At 42.1% G+C, this 10,200-nt stretch overlaps 2 annotated features.

Moving 5' to 3' along the window:
- Nucleotides 492–1,691: an enhancer, noted in NCBI's record as "BRD4-independent group 4 enhancer chr10:1984230-1985429 (GRCh37/hg19 assembly coordinates)". NCBI's record gives its function as "activates an origin of replication core promoter dependent on BRD2, P300/CBP, MED14 and CDK7 cofactors, and independent of BRD4, by STARR-seq in HCT116 cells {active_cell/tissue: HCT116}" and the evidence as "EXISTENCE:reporter gene assay evidence [ECO:0000049][PMID:35650434]".
- Nucleotides 3,803–5,002: an enhancer, noted in NCBI's record as "CDK7 strongly-dependent group 2 enhancer chr10:1980919-1982118 (GRCh37/hg19 assembly coordinates)". NCBI's record gives its function as "activates an origin of replication core promoter dependent on BRD2, BRD4, P300/CBP, MED14 and CDK7 cofactors, with strong dependence on CDK7, by STARR-seq in HCT116 cells {active_cell/tissue: HCT116}" and the evidence as "EXISTENCE:reporter gene assay evidence [ECO:0000049][PMID:35650434]".

Below are 10,200 nucleotides of genomic sequence, written 5' to 3'. Positions count from 1 at the left end.
TATCTTCACACGTAATGGGAAAACGGTGTGAGGTTTACCTAAGACAACAACAACAAAAACCTGGAATAAAGAAAAAAATTCTGCCTTTTGAAAACATGCTTTACCATCTCGTCACACAAATACTTTACCCATAAATTATGGATATTGTTTTTCCTACACTCTCTTCACACAAGATGTATGAACATTTTAGAGCTATGTTAAAATGTGTTTGGATTTCCCAGGAAAAGTATGATTATTTACTTTTTCTCGTCTAGTAATGTCTTCAATTTGTCAGTAGCACATAGAGCAGCCAAGAAGAGGTACTTAAGTGTGTCAGCAAAGCAGAGTACATTTACACCCATTTAAAAACCGTTCGAGATACTAGCTCATGAAACAAAAGCAGCAGCAGGATTAAAGAATTAATTAAACTTTACAAATAGAGCTCCAAGTAGATGTGGAATGGCTGTGAGCATGAAAAACAGTATCTTCAGTACTCACTGGTTTCTAAGAAAAGTGAATTAACTACTTGAAGTGAAGAAGAAGGAATAATCTTGAAATGCGTGAAGAACAAAGAACTACGAGCTCTAAAAAGAAATGGGTAATTGCTACCGTGAGGTACTACACATGTTTGAATATACAACACAAACGTAATTGCTACATACAGTCAACATTGGAGTAATTTGGTGAAATGAAGGCTATTTAACTAGAAAAATGGATACCAGAAATTTTATTGAGAATGTTTTCATATAATTGGGATACCTGTGACCTAAATCTAACAAGGAATATTTTGCATAGTTTTAATGAGGTTATGGAGTAGAATCACAATAATAGATCACTTTAGAAACAGACTTTAAGGAAATGATTTATTGGTATATAAGTCTATGCTTAAACAACCATGGAAGAAGGGAACTCAGAACATACTTCCTGTTGGTATTAGAGTTCGTGGGGTGGGCATGCTGGGTTTCACCTGTGGCTGAGAGGTCATCACTTCCTGTTGGTATTAGAGTTCGTGGGATGTGCATGCTGGGTTTCACCTATGGCTGAGAGGTCATCACTTCCTGTTGGTATTAGAGTTCGTGGGGTGGGCATGCTGGGTTTCACCTATGGCTGAGAGGTCATCACTTCCTGTTGGTATTAGAGTTCATGGGGCGCGCATGCTGGGTTTCACCTATGGCTGAGAGGTCATCTTGAGAACGATTTCATGAACAACATCCTTTGGCTCCTCCTGGGAGGTGTTCTAATTGTCTTTGCTTTACGTATCTGTTAAGGAAGACACAATGAAAACAATGTCCCCCTCATCTCTCCCTGGAGGTATGATGTCAGCAGAGTTGGCTCTGCAGCCTTCGCAAGTTTTAGTTTGGATCAGCAAGTTGGAGATTAGAGACATAACTTTACACCAGGTCAGGCTAGCACAAATTGATAGAGCAACCACTCATAAAGGGATGGAAAAAAATCACCTAATTCCCATCAGAGTTGACCTACATTATGTAGTTTTATTTAATGTCCTCTAGTTACTTGATTTAATTCATGCAATGCAATTATTTGATATTGCTATCCAACCTAATATACCAAACATATTGACAACAACATTTTTCTGGTATTTTTTCCGCTAGGCTTAATGCTAACAAGCTGTTGCCCCTGTGTGAGTGCCAAGATGAGCCCAGCAATGGGACCCCCTGCTTAGGGAGGACCCTGGGTTACCAGCTTGTTCTGGAGTCCCACGGGAGAGCACCCCGCTATTGACCACTCAGTTCTCACACCACTTGTCTGTATTTGAACTACTTTGAAACCTTTATATAGAGAGTATGTCATGGCATTCTTTGGTTTTCTTGTGCACCCCAAAGAGGGCATATTTTACATATTTGTTTCACCTCTGTTCTTTTCTCAGCTTCCCAAGACAATTAGGTTACCACTCACGGTACTAAGTCACTTTTTTAATAATACTGATTCAAAGTCTTAGACAACAGTCGTATGCAATGAAATACTTTTCTTAAACTATAAATTACAAAAAAGTAGTGTCGTACCTTAATAACAGCAAGAAAAATAAAAGCTCAGCATGGTACACACAGAAGTCATGTGGGGCCTATCAGATGCTGATTCTCCATGGGTTAAGGCTCACTGTTTCCTGCATCTGACTTGGGGTTTGGATGAGGACCCCAAAGCCTCACCCAAGCTCTCTCCCACACGTTTAATCACATTACTATCTGATTCCCACCAAAAAATAAAAATAGAATTCAGATTTGGGCCATCACTGATGTTCAGAGCAATAAATGCATGCCTGATGGTCAGGAACAGAGCCCTTCCAAGTGCAGCTTGCAGTAAAGGATTGCTTGCAGAAAATTCTAAAGGGATTAGGTGTCTCAACTGGTTCTGATGCAACATCATGCCCTGGAGATTCCAGGGGAATGGGAGATTCTCTGTATAATATATAACTGACAGCATGGGCCAGTCCTCCTTGAGTGCAAAGTGAGTTGTGTATATATGCGCTTGCTTTGTTTTCATCTTTTAACTCTTTAGGGCTTAGCTCTGGGTTTCTCTTGGAATGAATATAAATAGAAGACAGAGCCACCCACCTCCGCCTGACTTAAAAAGTGGCTTCCCGATTGCCTCAGTGAAGAGATAAATAAAGATAAATCCTGGACTTGATGATGATGATGTGGCGGGAACATTAGGGACCGGTGTGAGGACTCAGAGAATATGAATTGGTGGACTTCACGTTTTCCCTGAGAATGGCGGCTACAGTGGGGAGGCAGCCAGGCCCATCCAGCAAGGATATTCATGGAAGTCAATTCTGAATATAATCCCAGAAAATGACTGGACTTTAATCAAATTGAAAGAAACTCAGGAAAAGTAATATTTGAAATATTAACATAATTGAAAACATAAAACAACATGTTCACACCCATTAGCTGGTGAAGCTTGAGACACTCTGCTTATATCCCAAATATTGGTTGACTAATATTTGATGTCATCTTTAAGCTAGAACAAAACAAGTCCTAGAAAGAGTAGAACCAAGTTCTAGAATATTGACTGAAGCCAGAACTGTCCCTGTCCATCTTGTTTTGCATTTCTTTCCACCTTTCTGTGGAAATTATGATATTAATCTCCACCTTCGTTAAACTTGGGGGAGTTCAATGATACTGAGTGTCCCCAGCTTTCCCTGAGGCAGTAGTTTGACCATGTGTTATTTTTGGTGACATAATGGCCGTGTTAATGACACGTGTGGAAAAGCCATTGGTCAGCAGGCAGGAGTCGTCAGCACCTCCAAGACGCACTGCTGCATAAGGCAGTGAATAAATATTTAATGAGACCCTTTTCCATTAAAAAATAATGGATTACACTCAACTCTAAAGATCAACTTGAATTACTTCAGCAAAAGCCATCCACATTAGTCACGAGAGAAATGGACTCCTCATCAGTGGTATAATAAACTTACGGTATTTGGAGATGAACATCTTTGTGACTTTGAGTCTGCTCATCTCCTGCTATTCAGAAGGCTCAGCTGAAAACGGAACTTTTCCCATGAGGCCTCCTCCTCCCCAGAGCCCATGTCCCGGGGAGAACTCGGAAAATCAACACGATGGGCCCCTGGAGGGGGTCTGAGTGGACGATGTTGGGATGATCTTAACTATGCTTTGGTTAGTTGCTCATCACCTCTGATTAAATAAAATAAAGTTTTCCTACATCCTGTTTTGCCACAGGCACGGGTACAGAGCAAACCTAAGCTGGTGTTGACCATAAATAGCATAAGCTGCCTCCATGCACTGCTAATGGGACCGTTGACTGAATTCTTTGGAGCCTGGGAAGCTCTGGAGGCCGAGGCAGCACTCACCATCGGGGCCTGGGCCTGCGTGGGGTGCCTACGTCCGAAGGTTCTAACTTTATGCGGATACATCCAACCTTAAGGATCTGCCATGGGTGTCTTCTTGTTGGGGGAGGCATCTTGCCTCCTCTCTTGCACTCTCCAATCTCTGTGATCTAAAGGACACATCCTCCGTGGAGCCCTTCTGTCAACTGAACATTAATGCTACAGAGAAAGTGTTCACTGCTGGCCAAAAGGAACCATTAGGACTGGATGGGAAGAAAAGCTTGGCCTTCCTTATTTTTAGGCCTAAAGTCATAGTCATAAGGATCGTCATTCACTTATCAATCTCAGTTTGCCTCCCCTCATTTTCTCTGCGTGAAAGATGTTACTCTGGGGTTGGGGAGGAGAGCAGGCAGAAGCTGGTGACGCGGAAGCCCTGGGAGAAACCGAGGAAAGCGCTGGGCGAGTCTCTCACCACGCTTTGTGCCTGTATTCCTACTGCGTTTACCAGCTACCTTTCCGCTCTTTGCAGAAGTGGCCATTTCACTTCAGAAGTGCATTTCAGGTTTTTCGGCTCCGCCACCGAGAGACATTTATTTATGTTGCCGTCGGCCCTTTTATGATGTGTGCTAGCACCTGGCAGGTGCTCGGCCTTCCGGAGGACGCGATGTTATGCTCCGATGTTACTCACTGCTATGACGGCTTTCATCAAGTGGGCGGTGGGGCTGACGCGAATATTTTTGAGGAAATGATTACTTCGAAGGTCTGTGCCTGAATCCTTCCCGTGGAGGGGGAAGAGAGGCTCACAGGAGTGGGTGTTATGATGGGGCCCTGAGTGTGCTGTGCACCCTGTGTTGTAAAGTAGACACCACAGGAAAAAAATTAACTGGGCGAGAAACAGAAGGGGATTCAAGATTCAAATGCATACTTTCAGTTCTGTCCTCATTTGTATTGCTTTAAGCCGAAACATTAGATTTGTGTCATAAATGTACTAATAAAAATATACCTGAATGCAGAAAGCAAAAATATGCCTGAATTCCAGAAGACTGGAATATGACTTGCAATTTTCTGAACTTACCAGTAAGCTTAGGGTTCCAAAACTGACAATACAATGGCTGTAGGATTGGCTTTAAAATGATCTAGTGATGTAACTTCGAACTCAATCCCTTACGAAGCCAGTTTTCTCCAGGTTCTTTGGGAAATGCCTGAACGGATTCAACATTCTAACAAAATAATTTGGGTTCATTGTGCAATTTACTTTCTAAGGAATGACTCTCAAAGCAAAATATTAGTATGAAGTTTATAAAAAATGAAGCTGTTCCTTTCTGCGGTTTTCCTGGAAGCAGGCCTCACTCGCAGAAAATGACAGCATTCTCTGTGGCATTGATATTTACTGCCTCTGTGTTCCAGGTCACGTGGGGGTTTCCTGCCATCTGCCCACATAACTTGGTACCACTCCCTTCGTTAATTTCATTTTTCAGTTACCCAGTTTTATAAACAACTGTTTCCTGCTTGGGCCTCGATTGTCATACATGAGAAGACGAAGCCAACAGTGTAACGTATCATGATGCTGAGCCCCACAAACAAGGATTTGTATTTTCTTGAATAAAAATGAACAAAATTATTACCCAAAGAATAATTTAAAATTGTAGATATTCAACCGAGTTTTTCTATTTCAAATTTTCCCTGTACCATGTATACTCACTGAGTTTTGGAAGAATAAAAATGAAAAATAATAAAACTGTCAAATATGTTTGACAGTTTTATTATTTTTCATTTTTATTTCAAAAACTCAGTGAGTATAAATAGTATACAAATATGTTTATGTGACATGTTAAACAGAACAATAAGAAATAAAACTAATTATAGAATTAACATTTCAAACAGATTTAAAAATTTTTAGGAATTCAGGTGATTTTATTAAATCACCATTTCATGTGTGTGTTTCTATGGAATCTGCATTGAATAAGTTAGGCAGTAATGATTATAATGGAATGCTATCAAGTTATTCTTTTAAGTATCACATTGTACTCACTGTAGACATTGGGTCAAAATGCAGAAGATTGTCTGAGTTTAGTTTTGTTTTTAGGCATTTAATCAATTTATCAATCCTATGTTGGTCATTAAATTATATGACTCTCAAACCACCAATTAAAAAAAGAAGATTGTTAGCTATATGAGGAGCTTGTTCACAGACACAATGATCAATAATGGATTCAAATGACTTAAATTTTTTGGAAAGCCATAATAATCTCAGGCTATTAATAGAAGAGCTCAAATGCAAAATGTGATGGGGCCCAACTCTGCTTCCCCTCCTTCTATCCAGGGGTTTCTGCTTGTATCATGTGTACCCTCATGATCCTGCAACAGATTTACCCTCTCTTTTCATCACTTATTTGTGTAGTATATACAATCTGTAGTCATAGACAAATGCAGTTATTATTTTTTATTATTATTTTTTGAGACAAGGGCTCACTCTGTTGCCCAGGCTAGAGTGCAGTGGTGTTGTCTTGGCTCACTGCAGCCTCACCCTCCCCATGCTCAGGTGATCCTCCCACCTCAGCCTCCCGAGTAGCTGGGACCACTGGTGTGTGCCACCATGCCTGGCTCATTTTTGTATTTTTTTGTAGAGATGGGGTCTTGCTATGTTGCCCAGGCTAGTCTTGGACTTCTGGGCTCAAGAGATCTGCCCACCTCAGCCTCCCAAAGTGCTGGGATTACAGGTGTGACCCACCACACCCTGCCAAATGCAATAATTTTATCAGGTGCTTTGGTATTCGTCTTGATTTTTCAGGGTCTAAATTTTGTTGCTTATCGTTGCTGTGTGTTTTGAATAACCACCTTCTTCATGTCAGCGGATCCAGCCTATCCCATGATGACACATGGAGGTGGGGCCCATGAACACAGGAGGGGCTCCTCAAAGCAAAGACTATTCATTTAAAAAATAAGTACGGGGCAGACTTAGTGGCCCATGCTTTATAATCCCAGCACTTCGGGAGACTAAAGTGGATGGATCATTTGAGTCCACGAATTTGAGACCAGCCTGGACAGCATGGTGAAACCCCATCTCTACTAAAAGTATATATATGTACAAAAATAAAATAAGTTTTAGAAAAGGGCACATGGGTCCTGGGAAGTTAGAATCCTTACTTCTGTGTTTCTTCTTCACACATATCTGTTCTAACGGCTGCACCCCTATTGTGTCATTACCACCCTGACGAGTTCAAGTTATCATAATAGATACACAAAGATTATTTTACCTGTATTAATATTTGAATAAATAAATATGCATTTATGGGGCAAATTCAGATACTGTTTGCTTACAACACAAATATTTGACATGACTAGGAAATAAAACATTAAAGGCAATATATTCTAAATAGAAGACGATAATTATCATCTCTCTCTCTCTACACACACACGTACATGCGCACACACACACGTACATGTGCGCGCGCACACACACACACACACACACACATGAAAAAACAAGAAGAATAAAAAAGAACATCCATGGGCACTGCTGGAGTTCTGCCCTGGGGGGATTTCCGTTGTCCGTTGTCCTTTGGGGACACCTCACAGGGGCTTGGTGCTGCCAGCATCCACTCCTGTGTGCTGCCTGCATGCCGTGCAGAACCATCTGTAACTCAGGCCCAGGTCTTCTCTTCCTCTGTCAACGGATCCTAGGGATCTCCCCATGAGGCCACAGGTGCAGGTTTGGGGAAAGAAGGCAGTGAGGCTGCAGTGGGGCCCATGGGCTCTTAGGCCACTGCCTCGTGTGACTTACTTGTGTCTCCAGGACCTGCTCAGCACTGGTCACGCTCTGTTGCTTCTGTTTGAGGATGGAGGGTAGCTGTGCACCCCCAGTGTTGTAGAGTGGTGGGTCAGCGTCCCCAGCTTATGCTGGGCAGCTCAGGTCACACAGCAAGTAGGTGGTCCATGGTCAGGTGGCCAGCTTCTATTAAAACCCAGTAACAGGACAACACTGAGCTTTCTCTCAACAGGAGAGTAGTCATCTGGGATGATGGCAAGGCCTTCCTCCAAAATCCTAAAGGCCTTCACTACAATTCAGCAAAGGCCCCATGCAGCATCCCTCTCTGCCACAGACACTTCAGGCTCCGTTGGGTCTGCTGGATCACATGGCCTAAGCAGCAGATCAAGCAGCACATCAGCTTGCACGAAGCTGGATTTGCTACAGACTTTCTGATTGTTCTGGGCCCCAGAACGTACACACACATGCACACACACACACACACACACACACACACGAAGAGAGGTCTAGGGAGACAAAGTCCTTCCTTCCCAGGAGAGCTCAGTCTGCACTCAAGAACTGCAGCTATTTAGAGAAGGACACATTGTGAAGAATAATCTGCTTTGCTTGAAGTCCATGGATGCAAGTGTCAATCATATCACAAAATGTCTTCAAGGCCACGTCTAGACTGTTGTTGGACCAAATGGCTGGACACCATAGCTCAGCCCAGTTGACATATAAAATTAGCTGTCACACAAATCTAATTCAGAAATGCCAAAATTGGCCAGGCACAGTGGTTCATGCCTATAATCCCAGCACTTTGAGAGGCCAAGGTAGGCGGATCACTTGAGCTCTGGAGTTTGAGAGCAGCCTGGGCCATCTCTACAAAAAAGAAAAAAAAAATTGGAAATGGCTGTAGTCCATGCCTGTAGTCCCAGCTACATGGGAGGCTGAGGTGGGAGGATCACTTGAACCCAAGAGGTCGAGGCTTCACTGAACCATGATTGCACCACTGCACTCCCGCCTGGGCAACAGAGTGGGACCCTGTCTCAAAAATAAAGAAAGAAAGAAATGTAAAAATTAAGAGCAATGCATCAAATCCAGCTTAGAATTACTGTAGCGATGCAATGATGATTCAAGCTAAAAAATGATTTTGTTACATTTCAATTAACAAACTAGAAATAAAATGACATAGTCATATCTTTAGATCAATAGATGCAGAGAAGAAAATGAGACCCAAGTGGCATAGTCTAGTCTCTTCTGCCGTATTTCAGCTGACCCACAAGCAGGTGCTGGAGCGCCTGAGGCCCGTCCAGCCTCAACCGCTGACCCTCCGCCTGGCACGCTGGGTAAGCTCTCATTCTCTCAAGTCACTGGGCTTCAGTGTGGCTCCCTGTGCAGCACTATTTTAGCAGTAAATGATGGACACGTGGTGCTGTACGGAAAGAAGGGTCTCTTCACCTCTGACACAAAACGTAACAGAAAAGTAAGTAACAGGTTGTCTTTAAATCTACCTGTGGAAGTTAATAAAGTTAACAAAATAAAATATGTCCATGACATCAGCGTAGGTACAATTTATAAAGAGAAGCCAAGGCATTAAGCATTTCCATTTATCAAAAGACAGTATTAAGAAAGTCAAATGTCAAGCCATAGCCTAGAAGATTTTTCAACACTTAGAATCAACAATGAATAGCATTCAAAATAGACAAAGTATTTTTACAGAGCAATACAAAGATAAATAACCCATTATAATTTAGGGGAAATTCATAAAGAGTACTGCACAAAAGACTGTTTTCAAGTGGTCAGTAAGTGTATATAAAAGTACTCAAACACACTATCCCTCAAAAAATGCAAATTAAATCTGCAGAGACATAACCAGCACACACCTGCCTCAGTGGATGAAAATGTAAGAACTGTAATATTAAACGTTGCCTGGAGATAAGTGCAGTGAAAGTTTCCTACTCACAAGAACACACAGCACTTACACGGTGAAAGATCACAAGAATACCCAGCACTCACACACTGAAAGATGCTTTAATCTGGAAAAAAGGGAGATGCATTTTTCAGCTGCATACATTTGCATTCTCATCCAATATTGCAGACTTGAACAAATCCATTTGGATAATTCTATTATCTCCTTCTTTCAGGCCCATCCCATTTTCAAGTCACTGGCCTCTAAACATATAATCCCAAATGAAGACAGATCAGAAATCAATGTTATTATACTTTTTTTTTTTTTTGAGACGAAGTTTCTCTCTTGTTGCCCAGACTGGAGCACAATGGTGTGATCTTGGCTCACTGCAGCCTCCGCCTCCTGGGTTCAAGCAACTCTCCTGCCTCAGCCTCTGGAGTAGCTGGGATCACAGGCACGCGCCACCAAGCCCAGCTAATTTTTGTATTTTTAGTAAAGACGGGGTTTCACCGTGTTGACCAGGCTGGTCTTGAACTTCTGACCTCAGGTGATCCACCCACCTCGGCCTCCCAAAGTGCTGGGATTATAGGCGTGAGCCACCGTACCTGTCCCTATACTATGTTCTAAGTGTGAAAACAGGAGTGCAATATCGTGTCTTGTTTCTGAACTAAGCGTAGGGACGCAGCCTGGAAAAAGAAATAAAATTTAGTGGGTGGTCTGGAGAAATACACATAAAATAAAATAAAATAAAAT

Source organism: Homo sapiens, chromosome 10, assembly GCF_000001405.40.
Source record: "Homo sapiens chromosome 10, GRCh38.p14 Primary Assembly".
NCBI lineage: Eukaryota > Metazoa > Chordata > Mammalia > Primates > Hominidae > Homo > Homo sapiens.
The sequence above is the reverse complement of the archived record's forward strand: the minus strand, read 5'-3'. Positions and strand labels throughout refer to the sequence as shown.